Below are 23,731 nucleotides of genomic sequence, written 5' to 3' on the forward strand. Positions count from 1 at the left end.
GCATGTATTAGACTCAATGAATTTTGTGAGTTTATGTTTCTAATGATTCCCTGCACAGCAGGAAATCCAAATAGACAATAGTAGCAGAATCTAGTGATTAGGTCAAAGTGTAGGCCCTTCTTTGAATGGCTGTGTGGTGTCAGCTGACAAGACCAGTAGCAAAATCACAGAAGCTTCTTCATGAGGTGACACTGTCATTTCATCACCTTCAGACTAATAGCTCTTTAGTGCTTCACCTGTTAGTATTCACTCATCTCAGTTTCTACCATAAATACAGTTTTTGTAATAAGATTAACTTCCATTATCTTTTTAAGAAACCATATGTGATATTAGATTTTTTTAAGTAACACAGACCAATAGAAAAAATATTTGTTGCCCCCAAACACTGGAATATAGTTTTGGGGGACAATAAACATTTTATTCAAAATAGTTTTGGAGGACAATGAATATTTTGTTCAATATAAGTTGAATATTTACGAGGGAGTGTAGTATTGAGTATATTTTTCCTTCTGTTGAACCCTATTATTCCAATTCCAGAAATCAGAGAGTAAGTGTAGAAAGAGTGTGCATGACACATAATAATGTTGTACCTTATTTAGTCAATAATATTGAATTTATGAGAAATTAATATGTAAATAATTCCAGCAGCATAAGTTTGGGGGCTATTATGTGGGTCTGTTTCTTAATTCTCTATTTGATTCCATTGGTTAATTTATCAATTCCTGTGATGATTCCACACTGCCAGAGTTTTATACTCTGTCTTGATATCTAGCAGGGCATAGTCTTATATTTGGGTAGATGCCAAAATTAGAGCTGTTTCTTTTTTCTGAACTACATGTACTTTGATTCCTTTTAATAAATGCAGTAAAATGGAAATTACACATCAGAACACAGACGTTAGTCAGAGAGTTTCAATTTCCCTCTATTTCTTATCAAGTAGAATGCCAGGCAATACCCATATATTTCCTGTTCTTGCAATTCTCCAATAAATGTGAGATTCTTCAACAATCTGAGCTGTTCAGACCCTCAGGGATGGCATTAATCTCTTGTTAGTCTCCAAACTGTCCATGCTGGAGGGAACAACTGAAGGGTTATCCACACTTGCAGCTAAGTTTCTGCAGGCATGGCTGGGCTGTGAATTACAGAGATTTTTCTCATTCATGAACATTCCACACAGGTTGAGTACTTCTTATCTGAAATGCATGGGACCAGAAGTGTTTCAGATTTCAGATTTTTTCAGATTTTGGAATATTTGCATATGTGAGATATCTTGGCAGTGGGACTCAAGTCTAAACACAAAATTCATTTTTGTTTCATATACACTGAATACACATAGCTGAAGGTAATTTTATTCAATATTTTAATGATTTTGTGCATAAAACAAAGTGTGTATATTTAATAATCAGCAAGCAAAGGTGTCATTATCTTAGCCACCCATGTGGACAATCTGCAGGTCTTTGGCCTCACCATCAACCCTGACTCCGAATTTTATATGCTACTGATAAGCAATCATTTTCTTACACTTATTTACATGAGTACACAATATTAAAAAAATGACATACCATTAATACAGTGAAAAAATCAAGTGTCCAGAGTAACTAAACAGCACAGTAGCATCATCTGAATACTTGTGTCAGCTGTTAAACAAGAGCAACAACAAACAATGGCAGGCTTTCACTCTCCACCTACAATGCTGTGTTGTGATTAAAAGGTTACTGTACACTGTATTTTCTTTTTTAGATGAGAAGAAACATCAGAAGCAGTTGAGGGACCAGGAAGTGGGTCCTCTAGGGATGAGGAGGCATTCTGCTGGATGGCTTTTAAAAATGTTTCCTCCAGAGTCATCTGCCTCATTAACAACGGTTTTTGTCTTAGAAGTCTCTCTTTGATTTTATAAACTGACATGATTTCTTGTTCTATTATGAATGCACACTGCTCTAGTCCTTCAATATGCTCATCACACTTTTCACCATGTTATCTATAGGCACTTTTTCCTACAGTGTTAGCATCACCTTCATCATTACTATTATCATGATCACCTTGATTCAGAACCATTTCTGCCATTTCACCAGCAGTCAATGAATGAACAACTAAAGTCTCATTATCAAGGCTAAAAACTGCTTTGATATCCACTTCCTCCAACTTATTGATGGACTCTGAAGGTATATTTTTTGCATATGTAAGGAGGTTAGACATCATTTTTTCTCACTTGATGTATGAAATCTTTAAAAGTTACCATCTTGTTCATCATTATCACTGAACCTAATTGCAATCAAGAGGTTGTACCAGGCATGCACAGCTGTGTCTTTAGCCATTGTGTTCCAAGCATTGGCCACAATGTATACAACATCCTTCATGCCAAACTCCTTTCACAATCCTTCCACACCAACGTTCACTGTTGCTAGCATGCTGTTAAAGAAGGTGTTTTACTATCTACTCTTCATTGATATAAGTCACATGGCTGAACTAATGAGTCACATTTTGGAGAAAGTGCATGGTATAAACATTGTTTTTAATGAGATTTTGGCTGAAGGATGAGCAGAACAGTTGTCAAGGAATAACAAAATCTTGCAGTTGACAGGCAGTCCAGCTTCCCTACAGTGAGCATAAGCTGCTAGTACAAAATGTTTGTGAAACCAATCAGAAAAGATGTCCCTGGTGATCCATGCCTTTTTGTTAGCATAACATGGACTGATAAGAAATTCATTCCTTGAAAACAGGATGCAAGCTTTTGCCTACAACGAGTTTACACTTATGGGTGCCTGCTGCATTAGCACAACCCAGCACAGTTATTCTGTCCTTGACATTCTTAATCCCTGCAGCTGTCTCATCAGTTTTAGTGAGTGGATTTATGGGGCAATAACACCAAAACAGTGATGTTTCATTAGTATCATGGACTTGGTCTGGCATGATATTTTCATCAGCGATGACTTTGGCAAACTCATCAATAAATTTGCTACTTTGTGATCAGCAGATGCCTTATCACCACAAATCTTTAAAAACCTAATGTCATATCTTTCCTTAAATTTCTGCAGCCTATCAAATATTCACAGTTCCCTTTAATTTTCAGTTCACTGTGATAGAGCTTTGCTTGTTTTATGATCAGTATCCCATTAAGTAGCATGTGTTCAATATGATACTGTGGATTCATTCTTTCTTTTTATTTTTTTTTAAATTTATTTTATTATTATTATACTTTAAGTTTTAGGGTACATGTGTACAATGTGCAGGTTAGTTACATATGTATACATGTGCCATGCTGGTGCACTGCACCCACTAACTCGTCATCTAGCATTAGGTATATCTCCCAATGCTATCCCTCCCCCCTCCCCCCACCCCACAACAGTCCCCAGAGTGAGATGTTCCCCTTCTTGTGTCCATGTGTTCTCATTGTTCAATTCCCATCTATGAGTGAGAATATGCGGTGTTTGGTTTTTTGTTCTTGCAATAGTTTACTGAGAATGATGATTTCCAATTTCATCCATGTCCCTACAAAGGACATGAACTCATCATTTTTTATGGCTGCATAGTATTCCATGGTGTATATGTGCCACATTTTCTTAATCCAGTCTATCATTGTTGGACATTTGGGTTGGTTCCAAGTCTTTGCTATTGTGAATAGTGCCGCAATAAACATACGTGTGCATGTGTCTTTATAGCAGCGTGATTTATAGTCCTTTGAGTATATACCCAGTAATGGGATGGCTGGGTCAAATGGTATTTCTAGTTCTAGATCCCTGAGGAATCGCCACACTGACTTCCGCAAGGGTTGAACTAGTTTACAGTCACACCAACAGTGTAAAAGTGTTCCTATTTCTCCGCATCCTCTCCAGCACCTGTTGTTTCCTGACTTTTTAATGATTGCCATTCTAACTGGTGTGAGATAGTATCTCATTGTGGTTTTGATTTGCATTTCTCTGATGGCCAGTGATGGTGAGCATTTTTTCATGTGTTTTTTGGGTGCATAAATGTCTTCTTTTGAGAAGTGTCTGCTCATGTCCTTTGCTGACTTGTTGATGGGGTTGTTTGTTTTTTCTTGTAAATGTGTTGGAGTTCATTGTAGATTCTGGATATTAGCCCTTTGTCAGATGAGTAGGCTGCAAAAATTTTCTCCCATTTTGTAGTTTGCCTGTTCACTCTGCTGTGCAGAAGCTCTTTAGTTTAATTAGATCCCATTTGTCAATTTTGGCTTTTGTTGTCATTGCTTTTGGTGTTTTAGACATGAAGTCCTTGCCCATGCCTATGTCCTGAATGGTAATGCCTAGGTTTTCTTCTAGGGTTTTTATGGTTTTATGTCTAATGTTTAAGTCTTTAATCCATCTTGAATTGATTTTTGTGTAAGGTGTAAGGAAGGGATCCAGTTTCAGCTTTCTACATATGGCTAGCCAGTTTTCCCAGCACCATTTATTAAATAGGGAATCCTTTCCCCATTGCTTGTTTTTCTCAGGTTTGTCAAAGATCAGATAGTTGTAGATATGCGGCATTATTTCTGAGGGCTCTGTTGTGTTCCATTGATCTATATCTCTGTTTTGGTACCAGTACCATGCTGTTTTGGTTACTGTATCCTTGAAGTATAGTTTGAAGTCAGGTAGTCTGATGCCTCCAGCTTTGTTCTTTTGGCTTAGGATTGACTTAGTGATGCGGGCTCTTTGACAAAATTCAACAACCCTTCATGCTAAAAACTCTCAATAAATTAGGTATTGATGGGACGTATCTCAAAATAATAAGAGCTATCTATGACAAACCCACAGCCAATATCATACTGAATGGGCAAAAACTGGAAGCATTCCCTTTGAAAACTGGCACAAGACAGGGATGCCCTCTCTCACCACTCCTATTCAACATAGTGTTGGAAGTTCTGGCCAGGGCAATTAGGCAGGAGAAGGAAATAAAGGGTATTCAATTAGGAAAAGAGGAAGTCAAATTGTCCCTGTTTGCAGACGACATGATTGTATATCTAGAAAACCCCGTTGTCTCAGCCCAAAATCTCCTTAAGCTGATAAGCAACTTCATTCTTTCAATACAGAGTTGAGATCTTCCTTTTTAGCTTTATGCAGTGTTTTTCCATTTCTCATTAAATCCTGTTTATCACTTTCAGCGTAGAACTTCAACAGTTTATCCATCTGTTTCTTCAGGTTATATATAGTGGTCATTCCAACACCATACTTTTACTCCTATACCACAGAGCAGAGCAGAGAATAAGCAAAAGAACCCACAGTGACTAATCCACGTAGGTCTTGGACCCATCTGGTCACCATGGGGAACCTACCATTGATATGTCTGGACTGCATATGAGCCATTTTATCAGCCTTTGTAGGTGTGCTTACATGGGGGGAATCTGGGCCTGTGCATAAAAAGCTGTATCACAGCTGAAGAGGGCTGGGAAGGTCTTTTTTCCCTTGGGGACAAGAAACCAACTATGTGTTGACTGCCACCCATCACATGAGGTCAGGTGCAAAATGTTCTACTTGTAGCATCTTGTTGGTGCTCAAAAAGTTTTGAATTTTGGAGCATTTTGGATTTCAGATTTTTAGATGAGGAATGTCAGCCTGTATACCTTTATTTACTAAAAATGCCTTTATTATTTCCAAAGTTGTCTATAAAATTTTTTGTTCCTAAGTACATTGTACTATTTATTGCTATTTTGAGTGGAATATTTTCTTTTAATATTTTTACCAGCTGGTTATTGATCATGCACAGGAAAATTCTTGATTTTTTAGTCTTTTGGAAGATAATCTTACTGAAGAAAAAGTTCATCTGCAGAAAACTTTGTAGCTCAATAAAGTCTCACAAGCTCAATTCATACCTGTAACTAGCAACCAGGTGAAGAAAAGATGCCTGCCTCATATTCTCTTCCCACCACTGCCTTCACCCCAAGGGTAACTTCTTTCTTAACTTCTAGCACCATGCAATAATTTCACCTGCTTTAAATTTCATATAAATAAACTCATACACTACAAAATCTTTAGTGTCTGGCTTCTTTCATCCCACATTCTGTTTTCAAGATTCATCCTTATTGTATAAAGTTGGCATTTATGTATTCTTAATGCTGAATTGTATTTTATTTTGCTAATATACCACAATTTAGTTATCTATGCTATTTTATGGGGATTGGATGGTACTTGCATGAACATTATTGAACATGTCTTGTACATTTAAACTTATTTATGCATTTTTATTGGTTTACATATCCAGGAATAGAATAGCTTATTAATAGATTTCATATATACTGCCAGATATCTACAGGGGATGAACGAATTTATAGTACCACCAGGAGTGTATGAGAATTAGTACTTAACCCACAGTGTTCCAGTTCTGCACCCTTGCCAACATGTGGTACTGAGTACATTTTTCATCTTCATTTTAGTCATTTAATGTAATAGCAGCCTTTGCTTTAATTTTGCATTTCCCTGAAAACTAGTGAAGTCAGGCACATTTTCAAATGTGTACCAACCATTTGAAAATCACTTGTGGAGGGCCTGCTCAAGCTTTCCATTCATTTTTCTTTTGTGTCTATCTTTTTATTGCTTTGCAAGAATTCTTTTTATGTCTTAGATATGAGTTCTTTGTCAGTTGTATGCATTGCTAATATATTCTCCCTTTGAGGATAGACTTTATCCACCTTAGCAGTGTCTTTTGCTATAATCTAATTTATCATTTTCATCTTTATTGTTATTGCTTTTTGTGATTGGCTTAAAAAATCTCATCTCTGCACATGTACCCCAGAACTTAAAGTATAATAAAAAAAAAAGTAGTGTATTCCAAGTTTATGATAACATTCAAGCTATTGATTTTTATATGCCATTCCTATATCTGGCCACCTTATTAAACTTTCTTATTGGTTCCAATAGTTCATAAGATGAGATTCTTGTTTTTTTACTTTTTAGATAGATAATCATATCATCTAAAAATCATTGACTATTTTGGTCTTGCTTTTCATATTTATTACAAAGTAACTGAAACACAGTTCTAAAATTAGCCTATATAACACAAGAATATATTATTTTATATACCAGGAAATTTCAAGACAGAGTCACTTCAGGTAGAGCATGTCAAGCCCCAGCTCTGCTTTTATGAAAGTCCCCTTGCTTTGCTATCCTCCTATATTGACTTTATCCTCAGGCTTTTGGCCAAATGTTGCTTAATCCTCAGGCTTAAGTCCAGGTTTGCTAAGAAATTTGTAGAAATTTCATCATGATTGAATGTTAAATATGATTAAATGCATTTTCTACAGCTATTGAGGTAATACTGTTCTATTTTTTAAAGTGCTAATTAACATACTACTATGGTCTTAGTATTGTGCCTCCCCAAAATTCCTCTGTTGAAACCTAATCACTAATGTGATGGCATTAGGAGGTATTGTCGTTGGGTGGTGATTAGATAATGAGAATGGAGCTCTCATAATTGAGATTAGTGCCCTTATGTTAAAAGACCCCAAAGAGTTGACTTGCTCCTTCTACCATGTGAGGACATAGTCAGAAAGTGCCATCTGTGAACCAGAAAGCAGGTCCTCACCAGATACTGAATCTGCTGGCACCTTGATCTTAGACTTTCCAGCCTCCAGACTATGAGAAATAAATTCCTGTTGTACATAAGCTATCCAGTCTGTGGTATTTTGTTATAGCAGTCTGAACAAAGACACATACCGGTTTCTAGTTTTGAACTATCCTTGAATTCCTCAGATATACGTATTCCTAATATTTTGTTCTTTTCATCTCCTGCTGGATTTAGTTTGCCAATATGTGACATAACATTTTGGATTCCTTGTTAATATGGAATAGGCTTATAATTTTCTTTCCTTGTGTGGTCCTTAGCTTAATTTAAAGTGGCATAATTCCTATGCCACTTTTCCTATGTCTTGGAGCAAATAGATAAATTAGCAGTTATAATCAATCTTTATTATTCATAGACTCTATATTTGTAATTTTGCCTACCAGCTACAATTGATCCGTAACCCCAAAATCAATATTTGTAGCACTTTGATGGTAATCTGTGAACATAAACAGAGTGGCCAAAAATTTGTCATTCTATGTTCATGTTCCCAGCTAAGGTCAAACAAGGCAATGCTCTGCCTTCTTGTCTCAGATCCCATACTATAAATAAGTATCTTTTTCGTGGTATACTTAGTGCTATGTTTTTTGCATTTTCGTTGGTGATGTTACAGTTTAAAATGGCCCTCAACTATAATGCTGCAGTGCTGTCTAGTGTTCTTAAGCAAGACAAATGGCTGTGATATGCCTTATGGAGGAAATATGTGTGTTAAATTACCTTTACTCAGGCATAAGTTTTAGTGCTATTGGACATGAGCTCAATGTTAATGAATCAGCAATATGTATCACAGGGTCTTTAAACAGAAACACACAGAAAATAAAGTTATGCATTGATCAGTTAGTGAAAATGTTGTGGCTAGAGGCTCACAAAAACCTAACTCTATATTTCCCCTAGGAACAATGGTTCAGGATTCACTAATTCAGTATTAGCAGCAACTTTACGGAACAAAACTACTGTGGATAATGAGAATTCACTGCGCCCGTTGTTTAAACAGTTAACAGCAGTCACTTTAGTGCCTTTTGTAGAGACAGAGCAGTAAGTACCATTTTTATTTCCTTTATGGTTTTAGTCTATTTAAGTAACCCACTGGGCCAATTTTAGCGACTCGTGTTTTCCTGCAAAGTGTCCATTTCATCAGCATATTCACATTTACTGGTGTTTCTTTTTATATTTTATTCCTCTGTGTATGATTCATTTTTGTTCCTTATCTTATTTGGGTGTCTCTTTTCCTTGATACTTGTCAATGTCTATCTTTATGTTTTCCTATGAGTATTTTCAAATAATGAGATTTTATTTTGTGATTATCTTTGCTGTTTTTATTTGCTTTCTGTTTTCTTAATATCGTCTCTTATCCTTATTGGCTCCTTTTTCTTTTTTAACTTTAAAGCTTAATCAATTTCAGTTCATTATTTCTTATTTTCTAAAATACTATATTTAAGACTTTAAATTTTCCCTTGAGTCTTTCTTTGGATGCATCTCATAAGATTTGATATGCATACCATGTTTTTGCTGCTGTTTAGTCCTAAATATTTTGCAGCTTATTTTGTTTCTTGAACCCAAGAGTTATTTGGAAATTTTTTCCAGGGTACAGATACTTTCTAAAATATTAATTTGTAGCTAATGCAGTAAATTTTACAATTTTACTGTATTGTGGTCGGTGAATGTCACATATATGGAAAGCTATTGAAAACTGTGGATATTTCTTATTTATGCTAATATATGGTTAATCATTGTGAATGAATCTGTATGTATTTGAAAAAATATACATTCTCTACTGTGAGGGGCACAAAGTTAAAGAGAAATCTATCAGGTCAATCTTGTTGATTATGTGATTGCAATCCTCCTCATTCTTACCTATCATTTGTTTTTCTAACTAGTCAATTTCTAAGGAAAGTGAAATAGAATTTCCTTTTACAATTGTGGATTTGTCAATTTATCCTTACAGTTCTATAATTTATTTATTTATTGTCATGGATAAATAATTCTCAAAATATATAATTAATCCTTTTATAGTACACAATTCAGAGACTTTCAGGATATTTAAGTAGATATGCAGTTCTAATTTCAGAATATTTCCACCTCAAATAAACCCCATTATCCATTAGTAGTCATTATCCTTTCTCTCCCCTCTCTGCAGACCCTGGCAACCAGTGATCCACTTCCTGTCTCTATAAACTTGCTTATTCTGGACATTTCATATAAATGGAGCAATACAATATGTGGACGCTGTCTGGCTTCTTTCACTTTGCATAAGGTTTTCAAAGTCCATCCATGTTGTAGCATGTTTCAGTATTTCATTCTTTTTTTTACATTTTAGGCTAGTGGAATAGTTGAATGGAAAAAGATAAGATTGATTTCTTTTTAACAAGAGTTTTTATTTTACTTTTAATTAAATTTTTAATTGACAAGTAAAAATTGTGTTTATGGTGTACAACATGATGTTTTGATACATGTATACATTGTAGAATGGACAAATCTCAAGCTATTTAACATACATGCATTACTTCCTATCCTTATTTTTTTACTATGAGGAAATTTAAAATCTACTGTTTTAGCAATTTTCAAGCATACAATACATTGCTATTAACAGTAATCAAGATGATATACGATAGATCTCTTGAACTTATTACTCCTGTCTAATTGAAATTTTGTGTCCTTTGACCAACATTTCCCTAATCTCTCTACCCTCAACCTCTGGTAATCACCACTTTACTCTCTGTTTCTATGAGTTTGACTTTTTTAGATTCCACACATAAGCGAGATCATGCAATATTTGTCTTTCAATGACTGGCTTATTTCACTTAACGTAATGTCCTCCAGGTTCATCCATATTTTTGTAAATGACAGAATTTCATTTTTTAAAGGGTATGTAGTATTCCATTTTATACATATATGCCCCATTTTATCTGTTTGTTCATTTATAGACATAGTTTCCATATCTTAGCTATTATGAATAATACTGCAATGAACATGAGAGTGCAGATGTCTGACTACTGATTTCATATCCTTTGGATATATACTCAGTAGTAGGATTGCTAGATCATATAGTAGTTCTATTTTTGATTCCTTGAGGAGCCTCCATACTTTGTTTCGGAATAGCTGTACTCATTTACATTCCCACCAGCAATGTAAAAGTGTTCCTTTTTCTCTACGTCTTCACTAACACATTAACTTTTGTCTTTCTAATAATAACCATTATAATAGGTATGAGGTGATATCTCATTGTGATTTCTGATTTTAATTTGCATTTCCCTGATGATTAGGGATGTTGAGCATTGTTTATATCCCTATTGGCCTGTTCTTTTTCTTCTTTTGAGAACTTTATTCTTTTGAATTGAAGAATAATATTCCATTGTATAGATAGACCACATTCATATTAGACATATATATACACAACATATATATACAACATATATATGTTATGCAACATATGTATACAACATACAATATATATACAAACATAAAAACACTGTACATATATACCTAAAGTATATGTATATTTGCGTCTGTATGTACACATATACGTACACACACACAAAGAAACACATATTTTTACATTGTTTGCTTTAAATACTGATAGTTTTTGTCAGTGAGATCTGCTGGACATAACCTTCTTTTATTTCAAAATTACATTCACAAATTCGTGTGATCATAATTAAAAGTGATATATGCTAAAACCAAATGGTGCAATCACTTCAATATGTGTCAGACACAAAAATTGGGTAATTCTGGCACCTGTGTTTATAACTGCTAGTAAATAAAACTGCAGACAAAGTTTCCTACTAATTACATCTCATTGACTATAAAGTCTGATGTGGTTTGGCTCTGTCTCCACCCAAATCTCAGGTTGAATTGTGATCCCTAGTGTTGAAGGTGGGGCCTGGTGGGAGGTAATTGAATCATGGGGGTGGTTTCTAATCATTTAGCACTACCCCGGAGTGCTGTCTCATGATAGAGTTTTCATGAGATCCACTTCCCTTTTTACTCTCTCTCTCCTGCCAGCTATGTGAAGATTGTGCCTGCTTCCTCTTTGCCTTCCACCATGATTGGAAGTTTCCTGAGACCTTCCCAGCAGCAGAAGCCTATACAGTCTGCAGAACTGTGAGCAGATTAAACCTCTTTTCTTAATAAATTACCCAGTCTCAGGTATGTTTTTATAGTAGTGGCAGAGCAAACTAATACAGAAAACACAATAAAGAAAGACTATGTATTAAATCATGTGATTATTCAACTATTTTTAATATGGAAAAGCCCAAAACTAAAATTTTTTTTCTAGGTGAAAATTATTTTATTTTTCCTTAGGTTATTGGGGTACAGGTGGTATTTGGTTACATGAGTAAGTTCTTTAGTGGTGATTTGTGAGATTTGGCTGCACCCAACACCCTAGCAGTGTACATTGCACCCTATTTGTAGTCTTTTATCCCTTGCCCCCTCCCAACCTTCCCCGCAAGTCCCCAAAGTCCATTGTATCATTCTTATGCCTTTACATACTTTTCCATTCCTGAATTACATCACTTAGAATAATAGTCTTCAATCTCATCCAGGTTGCTGCAAATGCTGTTAATTCATTCATTCCTTTTTATGACTGAGCAGTATTACATCATATATATATATATATATGCCACAGTTTCTTTTTTTATTATACTTTAAGTTCTGGGATACATGTGCAGAATGTACAAGTTTGTTACCCAGGTATACATGTGCCATGGTGGTTTGCTGCACCCATCAACCCGTCATCTACATTAGATATTTCTTCTAATGCTATCCCCCTGCTTGCCCCCAACCCCACAACAGGCTCCAGTGTGTGATGTTCCCCTACCTGTGCCCATATATTCTCATTGTTAAACTCCCACTTATGAATGAGAACATGTGGTGTTTGGTCTTCTGTGCCTGTGTTAGTTTACTGAGAATGATGGTTTCCAGCTTCATCCATGTCCCTGCAAAGGACATGATCTCATCCTTTTTCATGGCTGCATAGTATTCCATGGTGTATATGTGCCACATTTTCTTTATCCAGTCTGTCAATGATGGGCATTTGGGTTGGTTCCAAGTCTTTGCTATTGTGAATAGTGCTGCAATAAACATATGCGTGCATGTGTCTTTATAGAAGAATGATTTATAATCCTTTGGGTATATACCCAGTAATGGGATTGCTGGGTCAAATGGTATTTCTAGTTCTAGATCCTTGAGGAATTGCCACACTGTCTTCCACAATGGTTGAACTAATTTACACTCCTACCAACAGTGTAAAAGTGTTCCTATTTCTCCACATCCTCTCCAGCATCTGTTGTTTCCTGACTTTTTAATGATGGCCATTCTAACTGGTGTGAGATGGTATCTCATTGTGGTTTTGATTTGCATTTCTCTAATGACCAGTGATGATGAGCTTTTTTTCATATGTTTGCTGGCTGAATAAATGTCTTCTTTTAAAAAGTGTCTGTTCATATCCTTTGCCCACTTTTTGATGGGGTTGTTTTTTTTTTTTTCTTGTAAATTTGTTTAAGTTCATTGTAGATTCTGGATATTAGCCTTTTGTCAGATGGAGAGATTGCAAAAATTTTCTCCCATTCTGTAAGTTACCTGTTCGTGGTGATGATAGTTTCTTTTGCTGTGCAGAAGCTTTTTAGGTTAATTAGATCCCATTTGTCAATCATGGCTTTTATCGCAATTGCTTTTGGTGTTTTAATCATGAAGTCTTTGCTTATGCCTATGTCCTGAATGGTATTGCCTAGGTTTTCTTCTAGGGTTTTTATGGTTTTGGGTCCTACATTTAAATCTTTAATCCATCTTGAGTTAATTTTTGTATAACGTGTAAGGAAGGGGTCCAGTTTCAGTTTTCTGCATATGGCTAGCTAGTTTTCCCAGTACCATTTATTAAATAGGGAATCCTTTCCCCATTGCTTGATTTTGTCAGTCTTGTCAAAGATCAGATGGTTGTAGATGTGTGGTGTTATTTCTGAGGCCTCTGTTATGTTCCATTGGTCTATATATCTGTTTTGGTACCAGTACCATGCTGTTTGGGTTACTGTAGCCTTGTAGTATAGTCTGAAGTCAGGTAGCGTGATGCTTCCAGCCTTGCTCTTTTTGCTTAGGAGTGTCTTGTCTATATGAGCTCTTTTTTGGTTCTATATGAAATTTAAAGTAGTTTTTTTGTAATTCTGTGAAGAAAGTCAATGGTAACTTGATGGGAATACCATTGAATCTATAAATTATTTTGGGCAGTATGGCCATTTTCATGATATTGATTCTTCCTATCCATGAGCATGGAATGTTTTTCCATTTGTTTGTGTCCTCTCTTATTTCCTTCAGCAGTGGCTTATAGTTCTCCCTGAAGAGGTCATTCATATCTTTTGTAAGTTATAGTCCTAGGTATTTTGTTCTCTTTGTAACAATTGTGAATGGGAGTTTGCTCATGATTTGGCTCTCTGTTTGTCTATAATTGGTGTATAGGAATGCTTGTGATTTTTGCACATTGATTTTGTGTCCTGAGACTTTGCTGAAGTTGCTTATCAGCTTAAGGAGTTTTGGGACTGATACAATGGGGTTTTGTAAATATACAATCATGTCATCTGCAAACAGAGATAATTTGATGTCATCTCTTCCTATTTGAATACGTTTATTTCATTCTCTTGCCTGATTGCCCTGGCCAGAATTTCCACTACTATATTGAATAGGAGTGGTGAGAGAGGGCATCCTTGTCTTGTGCTGGTTTTCAAAGGGAATGCTTCCAGCTTTTGCCCATTCAGTATGATATTAGCTGTGGGTTTGTCATAAATAGCTCTTATTATTTTGAGATATGTTCCATCAACACCTAGTTTATTGAGTGTTTCTAGCATGAAGGGGTGTTGAATTTTATCAAAGGCCTTTTCTGCATATATTGAGAAAATCATGTGGTTTTTGTCATTGGTTCTGTTTACGTGATGGATTACGTTTATTGATTTGCATATGTTGAACCAGCCTTGCATCCCTGGGATGAAGCCGACTTGATCGTGGTGGATAAGCTTCTTGATGTGCTGCTGAATTTGGTTTCCCAGTATTTTATTGAGGATTTTCACATTGATGTTCATCAGGAATATTGGCCTGAAATTTTCTTTTTTTGTTGTGTCTCTGCCAGATGTTGGTATCAGGATGATGCTGGCCTCATAAAATGAGTTAGGGAGGATTCACTCTTTTTCTATTGTTTGGAATAGTTTCAGAATGAATGGTACCAGCTCCTCTTTGTACCTCTGGTAGAATTCAGCTGTGAATCCATCTGGTCCTGGGCTTTTTTTGGTTGGTAGGCTATTAATTACTGCCTCAATTTCAGAATTTGTTATTGGTCTATTCAGGAATTCGACTTCTTCCTGGCTTAGTCTTGGGTGGGTGTATGTATCAAGGAATTTATCCATTTCTTCTAAATTTTCTAGTTTATTTGCATAGAAGTGTTTATAGTATCCTCAGATGATAGTTTGTATTTCTGTATGCCACAGTTTCTTTATCCATTCATTGATTGATGAGCATTTGGGTTCGTTCCACAATTTTGCAATTGCAAATTGTGCTGCTATAAACATGCATGTGCAAGTATCTTTTTCATATAATGACTTCTTTTCCTCTGGGCAGATGCCTAGTAGTGAGATTGCTACACCAAATGGTAGTTTTAGTTTTTTAAGGAATCTCCACACTGTTTTTCATAGTAGCTGTACTAGTTTACATTTCCACCAGCAGTGTAGAAATGTTCCCTGACTACCGCATCCACACCAACATCTACTATGTTTTGATTTTTTGATTATGGCCATTCTTGCAGGAGCAAGATGATATTGCATTGTGGTTTTGATTTGCATTTTCCTGATCATTAGTGATGTTGAGCATTTTTTCATATGTTTGTTGGTCATTTGTGTATCTTCTTTTGAGAATTGTGTATTCATGTCCTTGGCACATTTTTTGATGGGATTGTTTGTTTTTTACTTGCTGATTTGTCTGAGTTCATTGTAGATTCTGGATATTAGTCCTTTGTCAGATGTATAGATTATAAAGATTTTCTCCAACTCTGTGGGTTTTCTGTTTACTCTGCTGACTGTTCCTTTTGCCATGCAAAAGCTCTTTAGTTTAATTAACTCAATTAAGTCCCGGCTATTTATTTTTGTTTTTATTGCATTTGCTTTGGGTTCTTAGTCATATACTCCTTCCCTAAGCCAATGTCTAGAAGGATTTTTACAATGTTATCTTCTAGAATTTTTATAGTTTCAGGTCTTAGATTTAAGTCCTTAATTCATCTGGAGTTGATTTTTACATAAGGTGAGAGATGCAGATCCAGTTTATTCTCCTACATGTGGCTAGCGAATTATCCCAGCACCATTTGTTGAAAAGGGTGTCCTTTCCCCACTTTATGTTTTTGTTTGTTTTGTTGAAGATCAGTTGGCTATAAGTATTTGGGTTTATTTCTGGGTTCTCTATTCTGTTCCATTGGTCTATGTGCCTATTTTTATACCAGTACCATGCTGTTTTGGTGACTATCGCCTTATAGTATAGTTTGAAATCAGGTAGTGTGATGCCTCCAGATTTGTTCTTTTTGCTTTGTCTTGCTTTGGCTATTCAGGCTCTTTTTTGGTTCCATATACATTTTAGAATTTTGTTGAATTCTATGAAGAACGATGGTGGCATTTTGATGAGAATAGTGTTGAATTTGTAGATTACATTTGTTAGTGTGGTCATTTTCACAATATTGATTCTACTCATCCATGAACATGGGATGTGTTTCCATTTGTTTGTGTCATCTATGATTTCTTTCAGCAGTGTTTTGTAATTTTCCTTATAGAGGTCTTTCACAAACTTGGCTAGGTATATTCCTAATTATTTTATTTTATTTTTTGGCAGCTATTATAAAATGGGTTGAGTTCTTGATTTGATTCTCTGCTTGGTCGTTGTTGGTGTATAGAAGAGCTACTGATTTGTGCACATAAATTTTGTATCCTGAAACTGCTGAAATCTTTTATCAGTTCTAGGAGCTTTCTGGAGAAGTCTTTAGGGTTTTTGAGGTAAACGATCATATCATCAGCAAACAGTGACAGCTTGACTTCCTTTTTATCTAACTAGATGCTCTTTATTTCCTTCTCTTGTCTGATTGCTCTGGCTAGGACTTCCAGTTCTAGGTTGAAGAGAAGTGATGACAGTGGGCATCCTTGTCTTGTTCCAGTTCTCAGAGGGAATGCTTTCATCTTTTCCCCATTCAGTATTTTTTTGGCTATGGGTTTGTCACAGATGGCCTTGAAGTTTCTCTAAAAATGAAAAAACTCTGTCCCAAGACTGCAGCATTAGATCTTACCTAACAGTTTGCAGCCTTCCATTATACCCTATAGATTTTGGACTTGCCAGTCTCCAAAATTACATGTCAATTCCTTGAAATAAACCTCTAATTACACACACATGTGAGTATATACATATATGAGTATCTCCTACTGATTTTGTTCCTCTGGGAAACCCTGATGAACATACTAACCTACTTCCTGACACAAGTTGCTCTAGCACCAAACTGAACATGAAGCATCTCAAAAGGTCTTGAAATGGTGCTGTTCTCCACCAGAAGATAGGCTTCACTGTTTGAAAATTTCCCTGTCCATCTGGTGATTCTATCCTTACCCCTTTACATAAGGGGTTGCCAAGCCCTACCTGTATGATGCTTTGCCCTTCATTAGGTTCCTCCCACCTCTAACACCCAGAGGTGGTCACTTCCTCTGAGGCAATTAATAACTTACTTTTTCTTTTGTCATAGCTCTATCTATATTTTACAGTAAAATTTGAAATTCAGTTTCCTATGCTCTGTTTTCATTATATTTATTTATATATTTATTTATTTATTTATTTATTTATTTATTTATTTATTTTTGAGACAGTTTCACTCTGTCACCCAGGCTGGAGTGTGGTGGCACAATCTCCGCTTACTGCAACCTCCACCTCCCAGGTTCAAGTGGTTCTCTTGCCTCAGCCTCCCGAGTAGCTGGGGATTACAAGGGTCTGCCACCATGCCCAGCTAATTTTTTTAATTTTCAATAGAGACAGGGTTTCACCATGCTGGCCAGGATGGTCTTGAACTCCTGACCTCAAGTGATCCATCTGCCTCGGCCTCCCAAAGTGCTGGGATCACAGGCGTGAGCCACAGCACCCAGCCCCTATGCTCTGTTTTTGAAAGTAAAAGAGAATTTTGAATTTAGAAACCCATTTTCTCTCCCACAAAATCCTGACCATGTAGTATTTTCTTACTAGAGATTCAGAAATCATAATTTGAGACTAGCAGTGACTTTATTGTTCTAGAAGACATATTTTCTAGTCCTGAAGCGCATAAGCTTATTGATCCAATAGAAGGGAAATCACATGGCATAACGATTTTAAGTGAATTAAAAAAATCTTGACATTAAAAAATACCAAATTGATTCTGATAGATTGAATTTCCTTATGATCCAGTTGGCCTAACTTCATTCAGTGGCTTATCGTCACCAGTTATAGTAAATTATATTATTTGTTCACCATTCTTTCTTCTCTCTTCAGCCCAGACACATATTTTAGCAGGGACACTTTCCAATGTCACTGGCTTAGTTTGACAAGGTGACTTGCTTCGGCTAATGGAATTTTAAAGAACATAATGTGAACCACATTCAATCAGAGGCTTTAAATGTTTATATATGGTTTGGTTTGCCCTCTTGCATTCTGTCCCGAAGAGATATTGTTCCAGGGAACCACAGCCTCTTCAATCCAAGTCCCAAAATGAGGAGACATATGAAACAGACCTAAATGCAGTCTGTATCCTCGTGCCAAGTCTAGCCAAATCTAGCCCAGCCAAGTCCAGCTGTGCCATACCCAATTCATGGGCCTGAGAGCAAACAAATAAGTTTCGTTTGTATAAGTCAACTGAGATTTGGGAGGTGGTTTTTTTTACACAGCATTATTGAAGCAAACAGCTGACTAATACAGCAGTTTTATAGTAAATTAGTCTTGCATGCTCTATATTTTACATGGTTCACAGCAGTTTTAATTCAAATTATATATCTGTGCAGTTCAACCAAGTATCTGTATGAATTAACAACATAAAATAGTATGAATTAACAACATAAAATAATTTGTAGTATGTAGTTTTTTCAACCACACTTGGATGAATGCAGTGGAAATATATCTGTGTCTTATTCTATTTCTGCTGTTATAACAAAACACCACAGACTGGGTAATTTATAAACAATGAAAACTTATTTTTTCACAGTTCTGGAGACTGGCAAGTCCAAGATCAAGGTCCTGATTGATTTAGTGTCTGGTAAAGACACTCTCTGCTTCAAGATGGCACCTCTTACTGCATCTTCACATGGTAGAAGAGGCAATTAAGGGGAACAGCACTGTGCCCTCACATGGCAAAAGATAAGGAAGGGTCAGGAAGCTCTCTGAAACTTTTTTTAGCCCTCATGACTTGATCACTTTTTCAGAGGCCTCACCTCTTCACATTATGACCTTGGAGTTTAAGTTTCAGCATATAAAAGCAATCTGCATCTTTCCATTAGGTCAGAAATATTACAATTGTTTTTCACCAGCAGGCCAGGAAACTAGCAAGGTCTTCATACATGCAAGGCCTTCTACTTCACCTTGGAGTATAGCCATTCTTGACAGGCTTTATGTTGGCCAAAAATAACATACTATCCAGTGGGAAGATAAGTACAACAACTTCCTCATGACCAGCTGTTCACTTATGCAACTGCAGCACAAGCGCAGCCTCCTATCAATGTGATAAAAGAATAAACTAGGGACAAATTTTGGTATTCACATATTACCACAGATGTCTATCTCCTCTATCTTATGTTGACATCCGTGATGGCCTTTCTGAATAACTCAGGGCATCAGAGGGTTGCTCTCTCCTGCAAGCCAAGATAACGTTGGCAAACACATCTGTATAATGTGTGCACTGGGCACATTTCCTTGTTGAATTATTCAATTAAATCTGATAATGAGAGCACATTGACATAGTTAAACACTCAGGTGAATAAAAGATTCACTTTGAAGTGCAGAAATTTCTGGAGTCATCTGTATGTTAACAAGTGATGATACTCGCTACCACCATCCAGGGAGGGAGAAACTTTAGAAAAGGTAAGCTACAGTTGGGCATGCTGGAGGCTTTTTCTGGCATGATTTCAAGGAGATGAAAGGTGGAGGCAGTTTCCAGTGTTCATTTGAGCCATTGATCTTTTTAGAATAAATGAATTGAATTTTAAGAGACAGAAAAATACGACTCAGTTCATAAGTGAATCTTATTCTCCTGAACTCTAATGGGACATAGAAAGATGAACACTAGCATAGATATCAACACATCTGATATCTATCTTCCCTCTGCAAAGCCCTTCAACACTAGCATAGATATCAACACATCTGATATCTATCTTCCCTCTGCAAAGCCCTTCAAGCACAAACTTACAAAAACTTCAGATTTTCTCATCTCGATTCTCACCCTGTAAAATGGGAGAGTTTGGCTGGTCCCACATAATTACCATGGTACCTATTACAAAGTCCCCATAGAACTTTTTGCAAATAAAAGGGCCCCATCCATAAATGCAAATCTGGGCAGTAGCTGTTATTTAACTATGATGTTTACATTGTGAAACATCTGCCAGTCACACTGGCTGTCTTTAAAGCAGGGCAGCATCACTAACAGTGGTTTGGGACTTGAAAATGCTAGCTTGTATTTTCATTAGTTTGCCTCGTCTCTCCAACTACTCTGTATGCTTCTTACAAATAAAAAACATCTCTTAGTTCTTTTTTAACCTTCATTACTTAGCATAATACAGAAGGCACAAAGCTCATCAATAATTATAAAATGAAAGTAGTTAATAGCTGACATTTATTGATCCTCTTCCATGTTCCAGACCCTGCATCAGTCATGTTATATACACTGTCTCTAACTAATATAATTGTACAATAACCCCAAAAGAAAATATTATCCCAATTTAACAGATCAAGAAATGGAGGGTTCTAGCTGGTGCTGTAAGGCAAGAAAATAAAACCAAAAGGGATAAAAATTAAAAAGGAAGAGCCAAAATTACCAGTATTTATAGATATTTGGTTTTATACATTAAAAAATTTAAATAATCTACAGTTACATTATTAGAATTAAAAAGATAGCTGTGCAGGTTTTCAAGATAAAAAAAGCAATATACAAAAATCAGTTTTATTTCTGAATGACAAAATATAAAGAGCAAAAGTTAAATAAAGAGAGAATTTATAATATTAAAAAATATGAAGTACCAAGGAAAAGATCTGCCAAAAGACATGCCAGACTTCTACAAAGATAATTATAAAACTTCATTAGAAAAAGACAAAGACCTCAATAAATAATTGATAAATATTCTGTGTTTGTGATTAGAAGACCCAATATTATAAAGAAGTACATTCTCTTCACATTGATCTGTAAATTTAAGGCAATCCCAATCAAAGTCCCAGCAGGATTTTTGTTAGAACTTAAAAATCTCTTTCTAAAATTTAAATGGAATGACAAAGGGCAGAGAAGACCTACACCACCACTCTTGAAGAACAAGCTGGGAGAATTGCTGTATTGGAATTCAAGATTCCTATATTGTATTTCCTGACCTATGCAATGACTGCTCAGGTATTTAAAATATACATTAAGATATACGTCTATGTTTCTCCATTTTTTCAGAATAGACAATTTTTGTCATGTTACATTTCACAATGAAAGGGATATTTGAAAAAGAAAAAAAAAAAGGAAAGAAAATGAAGGTCAGAGAGGCTACGGCTATGAGACTAAGCCAAGACCATACTGCTGGTTAAATAAGCATGATCATACATTTAATGAACAATATATGTTTTAAATACTTACTTATATGTTCATGGTTAACAGTTTAGAAAAGCAAGAACCAAAATAAAGTATCACTAGTAATTGTTAATTGTTGACATATTTTACTGTCCTCATCACTATTTATTCACTGTTCACAGAACACAGAAATCAGTTCAATCACATAAGATGCTTGTCTGCCCTAAATCTTTCTTTCCAAATCCTTATATCAGACTTATTAAAGGGAAAATTTTTTGTCAAAGTCTTATGCTTACTTGCCATTGAGATAATGTCTACTCAATCATACCTCTATTTTATACATTATTTCCCACATTCACTCCAGAAGAAAAATGTAAAAACAAAACTAGGGAGAAAATGTGGAGCAAATGAGAAAACATACCTTTTTGAAACACTAGACCCATCTAAAAGTAGTAAATAGGAGGTGGAGCCAAGATGGCCGAATAGGAACAGCTCTGGTCTACAGCTCCCAGCATGAGCGAGGCAGAAGACAGGTGATTTCTGCATTTCCATCTGAGGTACCGGGTTCATCTCACTAGGGAGTGCCAGACAGTGGGCGCAGGACACTGGGTGCAGCGCACCGTGCACAAGTTGAAGCAAGGTGAGGCATTGCCTCACTCGGGAAGTGCAAGGTGTCAGGGAGTTCCCTTACCTAGTCAAAGAAAGGGGTGACAGATGGCACCTGGAAAATCGGGTCACTCCCACCTGAATACTGTGCTTTTCCTACAGGCTTAAAAAACGGCGCACCAGGGGATTATATCCCACACCTGACTCGGAGGGTCCTACGCCCACAGAGTCTCACCGATTGCTAGCACAGCAGTCTGAGATCAAACTGCAAGGCAGCAGTGAGGCTGGGGGAGGGGCGCCCGCCACTGCCCAGGATTGCTTAGGTAAACAAAGCAGCTGGGAAGCTCAAACTGCGTGGAGCCCACCACAGCTCAAGAAGGCCTGCCTGCCTCCGTAGGCTCCACCTCTGGGGGCAGGGCACAGACAAACAAAAAGACAGCAGTAACCTCTGCAGACTTAAATGTCCCTGTCTGACAGCTTTGAAGAGAGCAGTGGTTCTCCCAGCACGCAGCTGGAGATCTGAGAACGGGCAGACTGCCTCCTCAAGTTGGTCCCTGACCCCTGAGTAGCCTAACTGGGAGGCACCCCCCAGTAGGGGCAGACTGACACCTCACATGGCTGGGTACTCCTCTGAGACAAAACTTCGAGAGGAACGATCAGACAGCAGCATTCGCGGTTCACGAAAATCCGCTGTTCTGCAGCCACAGCTGCTGGTACCCAGGCAAACAGGGTCTGGAGTGGACCACTAGCAAACTCCAACAGACCTGCAGCTGAGGGTCCTGTCTGTTAGAAGGAAAACTAACAAACAGAAACGACATCCACACCAAAAACCCATCTGTACGTCGCCATCATCAAAGACCAACAGTAGATAAAACCACAAAGATGGGGAAAAAACAGAGCAGAAAAACTGGAAACTCTGAAAAGCAGAGTGCCTCTCCTCCTACAAAGCAATGGAACAAAGCTGGATGGAGAATGACTTTGACGAGTTGAGAGAAGAAGGCTTCAGATGATCAAACTACTCTGAGCTACAGGAGGAAATTCAAACCAAAGGCAAAGAAGTTAAAAACTTTGAAAAAAATTTAGACGAATGTATAACTAGAATAACCAATAGAGAGAAGTGCTTAAAGAAGCTGATGGAGCTGAAAGCCAAGCCTCGAGAACTACATGAAGAATGCAGAAGCCTCAGGAGCCGATGTGATCAACTGGAAGAAAGGGTGTCAGTGATGGAAGATGAAATGAATGAAATGAAGCAAGAAGGGAAGTTTAGAGAAAAAAGAATAAAAAGAAACAAACAAAGCCTCCAAGAAATATGGGACTATGTGAAAAGACCAAATCTACGTCTGATTGGTGTACCTCAAAGTGACAGGGAGAATGGAAGCAACTTGGAAAACACTCTGCAGGATATTATCCAGGAGAACTTCCCCAATCTAGCAAGGCAGGCCAACATTCAGATTCAGGAAATACAGAGAACACCACAAAGATACTCCTCAAGAAGAGCAACTCCAAGACACATAATTGTCAGATTCACCAAAGTTGAAATGAAGGAAAAAATGTTAAGGGCAGCCAGAGAGAAAGGTCCGGTTACCTACAACGGGAAGCCCATCAGACTAACAGCAGATCTCTTGGCAGGAACTCTACAAGCCAGAAGAGAGTGGGGGCCAATATTCAACATTCTGAAAGAAAAGAATTTTCAACCCAGAATTTCATATCCAGCCAAACTAAGCTTCATAAGTGAAGGAGAAATAAAATACTTTACAGACAAGCAAATGCTGAGAGATTTTGTCACCACCAGGCCTG

The 23,731-nt window shown here is 36.8% G+C and overlaps 1 long non-coding RNA gene across 10 annotated transcripts in view, besides 2 other annotated features; it reads left to right on the top strand.

The window, feature by feature from the left end:
* LINC02932 (long intergenic non-protein coding RNA 2932) overlaps positions 1-23,731 on the top strand; it is a 204,101-nt gene that overhangs the window by 173,625 nt on the left and 6,745 nt on the right. For 3 of the 10 annotated variants that reach the window (NR_183372.1, NR_183374.1, NR_183375.1), the window contains 2 exons: positions 8,446-8,586; positions 11,554-11,652. The exons of 2 other annotated variants lie outside the window; for them this stretch is intronic. This is a non-coding gene — a long non-coding RNA (long intergenic non-protein coding RNA 2932). Of the gene's footprint in view, positions 1-8,445; positions 8,587-11,553; positions 11,698-23,731 lie in introns of all 10 variants that reach the window. 5 more of the 10 variants (NR_183368.1, NR_183373.1, NR_183371.1 and 2 more) reach the window with 3 other exon arrangements.
* Positions 21,751-22,252: an enhancer, noted in NCBI's record as "NANOG-H3K4me1 hESC enhancer chr7:91136015-91136516 (GRCh37/hg19 assembly coordinates)". NCBI's record gives its function as "activates a minimal SCP1, AML or CMV promoter by ChIP-STARR-seq in naive and primed H9 embryonic stem cells {active_cell/tissue: H9 hESC(naive and primed)}" and the evidence as "EXISTENCE:reporter gene assay evidence [ECO:0000049][PMID:30033119]".
* Positions 22,253-22,752: an enhancer, noted in NCBI's record as "NANOG-H3K4me1 hESC enhancer chr7:91136517-91137016 (GRCh37/hg19 assembly coordinates)". NCBI's record gives its function as "activates a minimal SCP1, AML or CMV promoter by ChIP-STARR-seq in naive and primed H9 embryonic stem cells {active_cell/tissue: H9 hESC(naive and primed)}" and the evidence as "EXISTENCE:reporter gene assay evidence [ECO:0000049][PMID:30033119]".

Source organism: Homo sapiens, chromosome 7 (genome assembly GCF_000001405.40).
Source record: "Homo sapiens chromosome 7, GRCh38.p14 Primary Assembly".
NCBI lineage: Eukaryota > Metazoa > Chordata > Mammalia > Primates > Hominidae > Homo > Homo sapiens.